Raw genomic sequence first — 14,469 nt, 5'->3', positions numbered from 1 at the left:
CCAGCCTTCTTCATCTCAGTAAATGGTACCTACAAATGTCTGCGTCTCAGGTCAAAAATCTAAGGGTCATCCTTGATTTCTGCTCTTCCTGTACCATGTACATCCAATCCATCAGTATGGTCTCTCAGATGGCTCCTGAGCCCATTTGCTTCTCTCCATATCCATCATCTCTGGCCTGGACAACTGTGTCTGCTTCCTACTCAGGAAGGAGTCTTCCTGCCTCCCTGCAATCTAATCTCCACACAGAAGCCAGGGGATCTTTGGAAAAATCTGATACTGTCTGTGATAAAGAATAACTTGAGGAGGTATGCATGGGACACAGAGCACAGAGCCAGATTGTCTGGGTTGAAATCCTGATGACACCATTAAGAAGCCAGGAGTTCCTTTTTAAAAACAAAAACTTTTTTTTTTTTTTCTGAGACAGGGTTTTGCTCTGCTGCTCAGGCTGAAGTGCAGTGGCATGATCATAGCTCACTGAAGCCTTGACTTCTTGGGCTCAAATGATCCTCCCACTGCAGCCGTCTGAGTAGCTGGGACTATAGGCATGCAGCACCAAACCTGGCTAATTTTTAAATCTTTTGTAAAGAAGTGGTCTTGCTACATTGCCCAGGCTGGCCTCCAGTGAACCTTCTGCCTAGGTCTCCCTAGGTGTTAGGATTATAGGCGTAGCCACTGCACCTGGCTGTCCCCTTCTTAAACCCCTTTCAGCAGCTCTTGGAATTTCATTGCCCATGGAATACAATCCAAACTCCTTACGATGGCCACGCGAGTCCTGGCTGCCTCTTCAGCCATCTCAGGCCAGTCCACTCGTTCCCTTGTCAGCAGGCTCTAGCCAACAGGCCTTCTGACCCTTTCTAGAACTTGCCAAGCTCTCTGTGACTCAAGACTTTGCACTTCCTATTTCCAGCCCTTCCCTGAGCAGTTCTATGACCTGCTTGCTCCTTCTCCACTTTCCAGCTTAAATATCGTTTTCATGGAGGCTATCTGCAGACCTCCTCAGGTTATTTCTTATCACAGCACCCTGTGACTTTCCTTCATAGCTTATTTTATAGAAACCTATTTTTTTTTTGAGATGGAGTCTTGCTTTTGTTGCCCAGCCTAGAGTGCAATGGCATGATCTCGGCTCACTGCAACCTCCGCCTCCTGGGTTCAAGAGATTCTCCTGCCTCAGCCTCCTGAGTAGCTAGGATTATAGGAGCCCACCAACATGCCAGGCTAAGTTTTGTATTTTTTTTAGTAGGGACGGGTTTTCACCATGTTGGCCAGGGTGGTCTTGAACTCCTGACCTGAGGTGATCGACCCACCTTGGCCTCCCAAAGTGCTGGGATTATAGGCGTGAGCCACCTCATCCAGCCTAAAAAAATCTTTATAGTCTGAATTTGGTCTTTCTGCTTAGCTATTTGATGTCTGTCTTGTCCTGGAAGAATGTCAGCATGCCAGTCTTTCTACTGTGGTGGCCCCCAAGCCTAGAACGGGGCTGGAGTGTGTAGGCATTCGAGAAATATTTGTAGAATGAATGAATAAATGAGTGCAATTTAATCCTCCAGAGCACGAATTTTTTTCTTAAGTTATCCCTCTCATTTTAATAAGGGAAGAGATGCTGAGTGGAAGAAAAAGCCCACACAACGATGGTTTATTCCCTTTAGTCTTGTCTTTTTCCTTTGCGAGACTTCACTTTCTGGTTATGAAGATGAATGTCTGACACGCTTTTTTTCCCCCAAGATGCTCTTTCAGAGTACTGACTGGTTGAAACCTGTGGCGACAGCTTTCATCGAGTCCAAGAGGTGTTGCATGCTCCTGCTGGTTAGAAAACAGCACTGTGTCACAGTAGGGGAACAGAAACAAAACCAGACCATGCTTGAGTGCAAGCTGCAGCATGGAAGGGACTTGAGAGAGCATCTCAGGCCCAGCCCCCTTGCTGTATAAATGAGGAAACTGAAGCTTTGCGAGGCCAAGGAAACAGAACCCATTCTCTTTTTCCTGACTCCCCTTACCCATCACACCCCACCCCTCACCTTCCCACTCCCAGTGAGAGCCTGGATCTGAGTTGACTGGTGATACTGTCATTCTCTTGTCCATTCCTCATCAAGGTTTGTTCTGATGGGGCCATGAAAGGCTGTGTTGTCAATAGCCTGTGTGACCTTCTTCAGCACTTAGGGATGTGTCTTACATCTCTGAATAACCTCGACAATTCTAATTTTGGTTATGCCTTGCATGAATTTAGTGAAACTTTATGGGAAGCTTATTTTTATTCTCACCCCTAATTGTGTCCTACGGGTTAATGAGGTTCCTCATTTTACTACTTATTTTGTAGCAGTAGAACTTTACTTATCTTCAATTAACTTCTTGTAAAATCTAAGGCAGGAACCACCACAAGCAACTTGCGAGTCTTATTTGGCTCAACTGTCTCAGGGCAAGTGTCCTCTGTTGAACTCCCACAACTAATTTGAACTAATTGGTAACACTAACAATTGGGCAGTTTTCCATAATAATTTGAGATTATGTCTTCTCTTGGGAAATAAGAAAACCTGGGACAGTGATCCTTTGTGGCAACAGTTAGCTGGAACTGAGTAGTTGCATGCATCAGCATTTCACTGCCCCATTTAGACCTGGGGAACACCCAGTTTAACACAGTCATCAACACTCCTCATTGCTTTACATGCAGCTGGGTCCACTCAGTTACTTTATTTCCCCAGCTCCTGAAAATATTTTGAGTTCGTATCCCTGAAATATCCTTCCAAAGCATTCTGGAACTTGAGATCTGTGATCCATGATCACATTTATGATCTATAGATTTTTAGTATAGTATTCTTCAGACTTGGTCTTCCTCATGTGACACCCAGCTTCAGAGACCAGGGCTGGCTGCTCTCCACTGGGGGCATGATCCTCAAGTGCTTCCTTTAGAACAACTATGAAATTTAAAACAAAGTTAGTCCAGAGGGATTTTGGAAGCAGGATGCAGAATGCGGAAGAAACTCAAGATAAGGTGTAACAACCAAGTTAGGAAGGGTGCAGGTGAAAGTTCAGAGAATCCTACTAAGCGGTCAGTCATTTAACTAATATCTATTAAGGTTTTACTATATTCCAGGCACAAAGTGCTAAAAATATAGGTGGCTACTGCCACCCATTCCCTATCATTACCGTCTGTTTCTGCTCCTCCTACTCTTCTGAAGTTTCTGTCTCAACGGTCATTAACAATCTCTGCTGTGGACTGAATTTCTCCCCTCTCCCAAATTCATATATTGAAGGCCTAATCTCAAATGTGATGACATTTAAAGATGGGGCTAGGAAACAATTAAATTTACGTGAGGTCATGAGGAGGAGGCACTCATGATGATATTAGTGCCCATATAAGAAGAGAAACTAGACAGCTTACTCCCTCCACCATGTGTGGACACAGCAAAAAGATGGCTGTCTTCCTGTGAAGCTGGGAAGAGGGCCCTCACTAGAACTTGACCATGCTGGCACCCTGATTTTAGATTTTCAGCTTCCAGAGTGGTGGGAAAATAAATTTCTGTTGTTTAAGCCACCCAGCCAATGGCATTTTGTTATGGAAGTTCAAGCAGACTAATACAGTCTCCTAATGGACAGATCCTGTGGTCTTAATCATATGTGGATTCTCTGTAGCCTCTGAAAGGGAAGACATACTCTACTGCTTCACTCATATCCCTTAGCATTAATGGGACATTCTCCTCTTATATCTTAGGCTGCTTCTAAACTTCCTTAACTTAATCATGTCTGCAAAGTCATGTTATCTAAACAAGGTAACATTAATTTGGTTCCAAGGATTAGGACCTAGTATCTTTTTGGAGACATTATTCAGCCTGCTACAGACTGCTATTGATTTTGGTGTGCTAACCTTGAATTCAGCAACATTTGTCTGAAGAGTCCACTTTATATAGACAATTATTTCACAAGCAAATTACAATTTTGTGTTTGCTGACTCAAAAAATTTCTATTCTTTCTCCTTTGCCTTCTGTCTCTCCTCTCCCTTTAGATCCTCTTCCCCTTCCTCCTCCTTCTATTTTTGGTCTAATTTTCTTAATTTTGAATGATTTCTTTTTTTGTATTTATAACAACTTTTTGAGACATAATTCACATACTGTACCATTGACCCATGTCAATTGTAAAATTAAATGTCTTTAGTGTAAGTACACAGCTATTCAACCATCATCACAATCAATTTTAGAACATTTTCATCACCCCATAAAAAACTGCATATGCCTTAGGTGTCAACCCTCAGTCCTTCTTCTCCAAGCCGTAAGCAACCACTAATCTGTTTTTTGTCTTTATAGATTTGCCTATTCTGGAATTTCTTATAAATGAGATGATATAATATGTGGCCTTTTGTATCTGGCCTCTTTCACTTCTTGTGTTTTCAAGGTTCATCCATGTTGTTGCATGCATCAGCACTTCACTTCTTTTTTATTGTAGTAAAATATAAATAACCTAATGTTTATCATTTTTAACCATTTGTAAGTGTACAATTCAGTAGCATTAAATACATTCACAATGTTTTATGACTGTTACTGCTATCTATACTCAAAACTTTTTTCTTGTCCTCCCCAAAAACTCTGTAGCCATTTTATAAGTCTCTCTTCCCCTACCCTCCAGCCATATAAGTTGATTCATATAGTATTTGTTTTTCTGTGTTTGGTTTATTTAACTAAGCATAGTGTTTTCAAGGTCCCTCCATGTTGTAGCATATGTCAACATTTCATTCCTCTTTATAGCTGAATAATAGTCCATTGTATGTATGTACCATATAGCTGAATGTATAGTCCATTGTATGTATATACCACATTTTGGCAGTTTATTATCTGTTGATGGATATTTGGGTTGGTTCCACCTTTTGGCTATTATGAATAATGCTGCTATGAACATCAGTATACAAATATCTGAGTCTCTGCTATTTTACTGAGTTATTTTCAGTTCCCTAGGAGTGGAATCGCTGAGTCATATGGTAGGTCTATATTTACTCTCTTGAAAAACCAGCCTGGGCAATACAGTAAAACCTCATCTCTACAATAGATACAATAAAATATAAAAACCATCACCACCAAACTGTTGTCTACAGTGACCACACTTTTATATTCCCACCAGCAAAGTACAAGGGTTCTAGTTTCTTCACATTCCTGTCAATATTTGTTACTTTCTGTATTTAAAAAAATTATAGCCATCCTAGTAGATGTGAAGTAGTATCTTATTGTGGTTTTGATTTGCTTTTACTTTATGACTAATGATGTTGAGCATCTTTTAATGTGCTTATTGGTCATTTGGAGAAATGAGTTTTAGGAGTTCCTTGTATATTCTGGATAGAAATCTCTTATCGGATCTATTATTTGCAAATATTTTCTCCCATTCTGTAAATTGTCTTTTCACTTCCTTTGATGCACTAAAGTTCTTAATTTTGATGAAGACCAATTCATAGTTTTTTCTTTTGTTGTCTATGCTTTTTGTATTATATCCATGAAGTTGTGGCCAAATCATGTCATCTTATTGCCAAATAACATTCTATTAAACAGATATACCACATTTTATTTATTAATTTATCACTTTATGGACATTTGGGTGTTTCTACCTTTTGGTTATTTTGAATAATGCTGTTATAAACATTCATGTATTCATGTTGTTGTATGGACATATGTTTTTATTTCTCTTGGATATATACCTAAAATAAAATTACTGGGTCTTATGGTAACTGTCTGAGGAACTGCTAGGCTGTTTTCCAAAGTGGCTGCACCATTTCACATTCTCATCATCAGTGTACGAGGGTTCCCACTTCTCTGCATTCTCACCAACACTTGTTATTATCTGACCTTTGAGCATAGCCATCCTAGTGAGTCTGGAGGAGTGTCTCATTGTACTGATATTTATGTGCATATGTTTTATTTTGTTTATTAATACACAAGGGTTAGCTTGTATTTACAGGGCTTTATTTACATTTCCTTAGTGACTAATGATGTTAAGTGTCTTTTCATTTGCTTATTGGCTATATCTTATTTGAAGAAATATCTATTCAGATCTTTTACCCATTTTTTAAATTGGGTTGTCTTTTTGTTATTGAGTAGTAATAGTTCTTTATATATGTGAAAATAAGTAATCCAAAATCTAAGCTATTGGAACTCTAAATTATTTTAAGCCTGAAAGGAATGTGATTATGAAGCCTGAGTCACATGACAGGCAGCTATAACCTTGGCAGCTATATCTTAGGAAGCTATAAACTTTGTTTCTCTGATTATAGATTAGCCTTCTTCCTTACCTGCATTGTTTTGTAAAGTATTGTAAGTAACTGAAAGGTGCCAGGGAAGGCCTCTTCTCTCTTCACTGTTGATCTTCATTATAAATTAACTTCCCTCTTTCTCACACAAAGACTTCATAGCTATCACATTGTATTAAGATGGAATGTTAAATATACTCTTTTAAATTGGAAAGAAGATCAAAACAAACCATGCAGAAAGAAAACAGACTATAACTAATTAAATTGTTGTAACTCACAAACCAGCTTTGTATAGAAAATGCTATAATCTTGTTAAATTTCTTTGTTTCATGCCTATATAAGCAAGAAGTTAACTTTTAAGTTGGGAACATTAACCCCATTTCTCTGGAGTCTGTGACTTCTGCATGGCCATTCCCAGCTTTTTGCTTGAATAAACTCTTCAAAACTGAATTCTGATCCTTTCAATTATATCAGATTGACATATATTTTAGATGCAAGTTTCTTATTAGATATATGATTTGCCAACATTTTTGTGAAAGTGTTTTTTAATGTATTTGTTTTGCTTCTTGAATTTTCAATAATTTCTTCAGTGAGCATGGATTTTATTTTAAAATTTAAAAATCTGTTTATTAATTTTTAAATATATATTTCCTTGTAAAAATAATGCTTGTTCAAAAGCTTTTAAAAATAAGAAAATGTAGACATTTTAGAAAGTTCTTGCCCAACTTCTAGAACATACATTTATTAATTTAAAAAATAGTATTATATAAAAAAATATATAGGTATGATTTATATATTTATATGCATGTATACTTAAACACATGATTGTATGATTTACACACCTACCCTCCTCAAATTTCACTGAAGCAATAGCACAGATACAGCTCCAAAGAGATCAAAATATGAAAGCAAATCCTGAAAAAGGTAATGAACGATAAAACATAAAGAGAGAAAGCCCTATCAAGTTCTTAAGAAATGATGGTACCAGTTACCCAGGAAGGTGAGGGTCTAAAGCACATGTGTTGAAAGAGCTGACCATCTCTGCTTCCTTCCGGGCTTCAGTCAAGAGTTAATTCTTCTGAGAAATGAACCAGGGAGGCTCCAAACTTGGAAATACCAGACAAAGAAATTTCTCCGGGATACACTGGGAAGTGAAACAAACAAACATGTTATAGATACACATGAGCAAATCTCTTGTATATTAACAAACAAAACAAAACATATGTACATAAATATAAATGTGAATGCATACAGAAAGTGTGGAAAGATACACCCAGAATCTGTAGCCACATTATAGTTTTTCAGGACTTGGTTCTGGGGCTCTTCTGTTCTCTAAATTCTCTCCCTGGATGATTTGATCCAATTCTGTGGCTTTAAATGCTGAAGACTCCCCAATTTTTTCTTCTTTGGGTGCAGCTCCAACTCTGACTCAGCATAAACCAACGAGGGGACTGCATTCTGCAACCACAGTGGTTGGTTTAGGGATGGGGATCTGACCTAGGGGATATGAGTCCATGGACCGGATGGGCATATGAGCCCATGACCCAGGGGATATGAGCCCATGGACCAGATGGAACTTTGAGGCACACCCTTTTTCAGGTAGCTTTGAACCTGAGAGGAAGACAGGTCTTGTAGCATTCTTGCTGTTGACTGCATCAGTTCACACGGCCACCAACTGTTACTAATCCTGGGTATCAACAATTATCCCAATGTGTTAGAAGAATATATGCTAGTTTACATTGTGTTTATTGTTAGTGAGATTAAGCATCTTTGTCTATTAACTTTGTTTTGTCATTTGTAAATTGAATTGTTAATCAGTTTCTAATTGATAACTAAGGTTTTAAGACATTGTGAATAAAATACCTTTGTTATATGTGCTACAAATATATGTAATGTGCGGTTGTAAATAACTTTTTTCTAATTATTTTAATGCTGTTATTGATACTGACTGTGTCCTGGGACAGTCACTAATCTACTAAACCTATAAATTTACATGGGAATAAAAGAGCGTAATAGACTCTTTCCTAGTGTTTATTCCCCTAGCAGTGTTTCCCAGTGCCGGCTTAGTGTACATCGGTAAAATATGAAAATTCTCCTCTACTGACCATTAAAATTATGAAAGCACAGACTAAATTCTTATTAACATTTTAAACAAATGGAGCAAAATATTTGTACACTTCTTTCCTCTTTTTTTCACTGAAAACACAAATTGCATTGAAAACACTGACTTACCATATAATTTACCTTATTAATTAAGAATAATTGGAGTTTGTATCTTAAGAGTCCATTTAGTGCTAAGTTTTTGTGGTCTCTTTGAGTTCCATGGACCAGCAGTTAGGAAATGTAGATTCATCTGACTAGTAAATAATATAATAAGAATGAGTAGAAGACTAGTCAACTTTTATAAGCATCAATATAATGTGTGAGGCATCGTTCTAAGTGTGCTACACACATTATATCTTTTATTTCTTAAAACAACCCCATGAGGCAAATACTATCATTATCCCTATTTTCCAGATGAAGGAGCAGGCACAGTGAGGTTAATTAGCTTATTCAAGCTCACATGGCTACTTGAACTTAGATAATCTGTGTTCACTGGCACTTTAAACAACTATGCGTTCTTAGTGCTTTCTTTTCTTTTCTTTTGGTTTGTTTGTCTTAACCTTGATTTTATCATTTAACCCCATATGGTGTATATCTGAGTTTGTGTTATATAGCATGACAGTGGGAATGTATACTGAGTTCTCCAAATGGGGTTGGCCCATCTTTCTTTTTAAGATATTGAGAATCATTTAAAATACTCTGTAGAGCCTTATGCAGCCCTAGCAAGAACTGAAGTCAAATTCTGGAATAATTGTAATTTTGACCTATACCTAGAATATGATATTCACTGAGTTTGTCTTTATCAAACTGGTGGTCGGTTGGTTCAGATGACCAGAAAGGCAAATCCAAGCAGTCTTGGCAAGTTTATGGGGCTCCAAAGTGTCACTTTAGGGAATGTTGGCCATTGCCTGGAGTCAGTTGAGCTAGTAGGCTGGCCTGGGCAGTACAGGCTTACAAGAACCTGGCTACAAGAGGTGAAGGGAAGCACTAGAAGAATCCAGGTGAAGGGCCCTCTGATTCTTGGATGCCCAGCTGGGGGAGAGTGGTGCTTTGTCAGTAGGCCTGCGGTCCAGCACAGTGGGGGCACGATAGCTCAGGAGGTGGAGGTAGGATGGGCCTGAGGAGTTCCCGGACATGTATTTGGGAAGCATAGTGGCCACTGAGTCATTCTGAGTAGATCTGTGATTATTTTATAGGGCACAATTCTACATCTGGAAGAAGAAACACTACTCTCAATCTGCTGCTTTCACTCCCTTGCTCTACCCTAGTGCTAGTAAGAAAAGTTCCTGGCCAATAGGGAACCCCAAAACAATGATGTTTAAAAATATTAATAAAAACTGACATCTACTGAGCTCATAGTATAGGTTAGGTATGATTATAAGGCCTTTCACATGTACCAATTTTCTGAGACAGGTATTGTAATCCTCTTCCTCATTGTATAAGTAGGGCAGGTGAGGTAAAGGAGCTTATGAAAATTGCCCAAGGTCATACAGCATGTAAAAGGGGTAAGGGTTGGTGGGGAAAGAATTCGATCTGCGAGAATTTGGCTCCAGATGCTGCACATCAAGCTATTCTGCTATATTGCCTTCTTGATATTTTAATAAAATGAATTTTCTCTCTGGGTTTAAGAGGAGCATTAAATACTAAATTTACTACCATTCCTTTTTGTTTTGTTTTGTTTTGTTTTGAGACAAAGTCTCGCTCTATCACCCAGGCTGGAGTGCAATGGCACTATCTCGACTCACTGCAACCTCTGCTTCCCAGGTTCAAGTGATGCTCCTGCCTTAGCCTCCCGGGTAGCTGGGATTACAGGCGCCTGCCACCATGCCCAGCTAATTTAGTAGAGACAGAGTTTCACCACGTTGGCCAGGCTGGTCTCAAACTCCTGACCACAGGTGATCCAACCACCTCGGCCTCCCAAAGTGCTGGGATTACAAGCTTGAGCCACCGCACCCAGCCTAAATTTGCTACATTCCTTAGAATAAAATATCAGTCTCAAAACAGTAGTTTCAGCCCCACAGATTTGTCTCAGAAGTCTAATTGTACACATTCCTATGTGAGGCTGTCATTTGTCTGAAAGTCTTCAACTTTAGATTTTCTTGGGCTGAGGAAGGGCTTAGGTCTCAGCTTTTAATCCACAGGAGGAAGTTTTATTTACCCTGTGGATACTTAATACATATTTTTCATTGCTGTTTCTCTTGTCCAGTTGGGCTTATCTTGCCCATGAAGTTGCCTCTGAAGAACCAAGTCCAACTGTGTATGCTGAGAGATGTCTGGCTACTTCCTGATTGACAGTTCTGGCAAGGTGGCATTGGGCCCTGGCTTTTCCTCTGGAGGCATCATCACTTATAGGAAAATGTCCCCTGAAGTCCAAGGATCAAAGCTGCTGGAACACTGAGAAGCTGAACAAAGGAGAACTGTTTCTCATCAAACCCAGACTTCCAGACTTCCAATAGGGTAGAATGAGCAAGTCAGCAAATCATCTTCCTTGGAAACAGTGATAAAACTAGATGACATTGTCAACAACAGCCATTTCAGAAATCTAGAAAATGACCAAAGGCAAACAACAAACTGAGAAGCATTTTTTTTTCCATGAAAAATCGCTCTATTTCTGCAAAAATAGTGGGAGTCTATGGCTTCTCATCCAGGGCTGTTTCTCTCCCCACCCCAGCTCAGTCAGTACAAAGGTTCTGGCAGCATGAGGCAGACTGAACAGACCTGAAGTTTGATTGCTGGAAGAAACTGACTCCAGGTTTGGCAGAGGGTGAGAAACCTACTCCCAGCCATGTTGTCTGGTGACACAGTGACCTTAGGGACAAGTGAATAGGGAAGGCCAGTGATTCATTAACCTGAGGTTGCAGTCCTGGTTGGGGAAAGCATCAGAATGGCAGATAAGCTAGAAATTTAGTAGGGATATGCTGGAAATGAGACAACCCCAAAGGGGCTTGACCCCAAAGTTGTCCACACACCCCAGCTGCCTTCTGAGCAGATGTAGGGAGAGACCAGAGAAGGCCTAGGCTATCCACACATCTCTGGCTAACCCAGGCTGTAAACCTGTGGAGGAGACACAAGAGGTGGATTGATTGCTAATGGGCATATGGGGGATCTTACTGGTTGATAGGAACATTCTCAAATTGGATTGTGGTGATGCTTGCACAACTCTAAGTTTATCCCAAATTGCTAAATTTTACACTAAAAAGGGGTGAACTTTAGGGTATATAAATTATACATCAATAAAGTTGTCATAAAGCATTCACATTCTAATAAATGGCTCTAAGAAATATTGTTTTGAAAATTTTCCTTTGGTATATTATGGCACTCCAAAATCAACTTCTGTCAGAACAATAATTAACTATTTCTGATTATAGATATTGGTCATCTACAATGATTTATTCAGTCTTTTATGTCCCGCATAAGGGCTTAGAATGCTTTAAATTTCTAAGACCATCAATAGCCAGGACTCACCTGAAAACTATATATATTTTTAAAAAGACGTATGCTCTGGGACACCATATGCTAACATTTGTTGAGCACACAGTTTGCTACAGAGGTTAAGAGGTGTACTATTTAAATCTAACTTCCTCAAGGGGCTCACACTATTACAATAGTAAGCTAAAGAGATAGAAGAAAAGTTTATATATAAAATCTCAGTACAGGGATGGGGTTGGTAACAAATAAGATGCTGCCACTTACACTTGATAAATTATAAAATATCTATTGCATTCATTATTGGAGGCTGACCCTTATAAAAACCTTGTGGGTACTGCAAAAGACAGGGAAACCGAGGCTCAGAGTGGTTCAGCAACTTGTGTGAGGTCACATACCTCATGTCAAAGCTGAGATTTAAATGTGTGTGGCTAGGCTGGACATGGTGGCTCACACCTGTAATCCTAGCACCCTGGGAGGCTGAGGTGGAACACACTCCTTGTTTGTGTCCAGGAGTTCAAGACCAGCCTGGACAACATAATGAGACCTCATCTCTACAAAAAATAAAAAATTAGCTGGGTGTGGGGCCACGCACCCCAAGGTTCTCAGGAGGCTGAGGCAGGAGGACTGCTTGAAATCAGGAGGTTGAGCCTGCAGTGAGCTGTGATCATGCCACTGCACTCTGCCTGGGTGACAGAGTGAGACCCTGTCTCAAAAAAATAAAAATAAAAACAAATAAATGTGTGTGGCTGATTCTCATGCAAATATTGGTGAAGATCTGGTAGTGATGTAAATTGGTAGAACCTCAGTGGGAGATAACTTTGCAATAGCTATCAAATGAAAACTGTGTATATTCTTTGTTTCAGGAATTTCACTTCTAAGATGTTTTTAATATAGCAGAAATGGTTATCCATAAAGAATTAGTTCAATACATTTTATCTGTAAAATGGAATGCAATGCGGCCATTAAAAAGGAGGCATATCTGAGTATACTAATATAGAATGGTCTGCAAGATATATTAACTTTTTTACAAAAGCTGTTCCCCACACTTCTTCGTGTTGTTTGAAAAGACGTGAAGGCTCAGACAGGCCTTCATTGTGACTTGCCCAGGATGAGTAGCAGGGCTGGAATTCCTACTCAGGAGTCCAGATTTATAGGCTTCCTCTTTGCTTTATCCTATTTCATAGCTGTCTCTGTTGCCAGAGCCATGGAAGGGCTTTAAGGAGTGGAAAGGTTGGTAATTGGGTTTTCCTTTTTGAAAGACCATGAGGAACAATGTGGAGGACGGACTGGAGTTGACCTAAGTGGAGGCTCAGACTCTGGGTAGAAGGTTTTTATAGCAGTTCTTATGAGAACTGATTACTTCACTAGGGCATTGGCCCTAGAACTTCTGAGGAGGAGAAGGGTGTGGATTTACTTAGCAGGCAGCAATGGCAGGACCTGGTGATGATCATATTTGAGGTGGTACAAGACAAGGAGTCAACAATAAGTCCCGAGTTTCAGACTTGGATACCTGGGTAGATGGTAGGGCTGTTTGCTGAACAAGAGGAAACAGGAGAAAGAGCAGTTTTAGGGGAAACAATCATGGGAATAGATTTGAAATGTCTTCCAGAAGCAGGTGGGAAATGCCGGCTTAGAATGCAGAAGAGCTCAGGGATGGAGCTAAATACAAGGAAGTCGTCATCAGAGGTTGAAGGATTGCTGTGAAAGGATCTTTTCTTTTGGGTTCCTTGGCCCCTACCCCTGAGTGTGATTTCCAGGGTTTCTTATTCGAAGGCCATGAGCAGAAACTTCTCACGGCACGTCACCTCATCCAAATGCCACAGAAATGAAAAGTGAAACCACTGGGGACAGACTCAGAAATCAAAACAAAACAAATTCTCCTCTCAGAGGCTTGGTTTCCATTTGTGCCAGTGTAATTAAACAATTCTTTCTTTCTTTTACTTGGAACTCTTCATTTGACCACCAGGAACTTCCCTCTGGCAGGGGCAACAGCCACTCCAAGGACTTACCCCAGAGATTTCAGAGCAGAAGCAACGGCGTTTCCTCTTGAACTGTTATTTCTCTGCCCAAGGAATCTTCTTGACTGTCATTCCACTAACCCTTCATGGGAAATTTGACCTCTGGGCTCTATAACAGATCTCAAATTCATAGTGAAACTGTGGAAGACTCCCATTCATTAAAAATCCCATTCATACTGTGCATGTGAAGTCAAGAAACCACATTTTGGGTTGTAGAGGCAGCCACTCAAAATGACCCTCCTGACCAGTTGTTCCTGTTATAATGTACATTTCCTGTGAATTCCAAGGAATTCATGAATAGTGGAAAAAAAGAAGTATTTTCTTATTTCACTTTTTATATAGACACTAAAGCTTTGTTGGGAGGTTACATGGGCATGGGCCAGGGACATTTTCTCAGTGGCAGCTATCAACTGGGACTATGATAAAGTATCATGGGTGCAGAATTTGTCTGGATTCAAGGTATCTAGAGATTGTTTACTTGCTACAAACAGGATCTAATGCTGACTAGATTGGTGACCTTGGCAAGCCACTTCATCTTTCCAGGCTTCATTTTTTTTTTCTCTAAGTAAAAGAGAAATGGGATCAAGTGATTACTAAGTTCCCTTCTGGGCCTAAAAAGTTATGATTTTATAAATGACACTAAACTAATTAGACAAATATGTTTTGAGAGCCTATTATGTGCCTGTCACTCTGCTCGGT

General features: G+C 39.7%; 1 long non-coding RNA gene across 1 annotated transcript in view; it reads left to right on the top strand.

Moving 5' to 3' along the window:
• IL12A-AS1 (IL12A antisense RNA 1) overlaps positions 1-11,604 on the top strand; it is a 293,693-nt gene extending 282,089 nt beyond the window's left edge. Inside the window, exon 10 of the long non-coding RNA NR_108088.1 lies at positions 10,530-11,604. This is a non-coding gene — a long non-coding RNA (IL12A antisense RNA 1). The remainder of the gene's footprint in view (positions 1-10,529) is intronic.
• The last annotated feature ends 2,865 nt before the right edge of the window (positions 11,605-14,469 follow it).

This window comes from Homo sapiens, chromosome 3 (genome assembly GCF_000001405.40).
Source record: "Homo sapiens chromosome 3, GRCh38.p14 Primary Assembly".
Classification (NCBI taxonomy): domain Eukaryota; kingdom Metazoa; phylum Chordata; class Mammalia; order Primates; family Hominidae; genus Homo; species Homo sapiens.
Note: the sequence above shows the minus strand (reverse complement) of the source record. Positions and strands in the feature narration are given on the sequence as shown.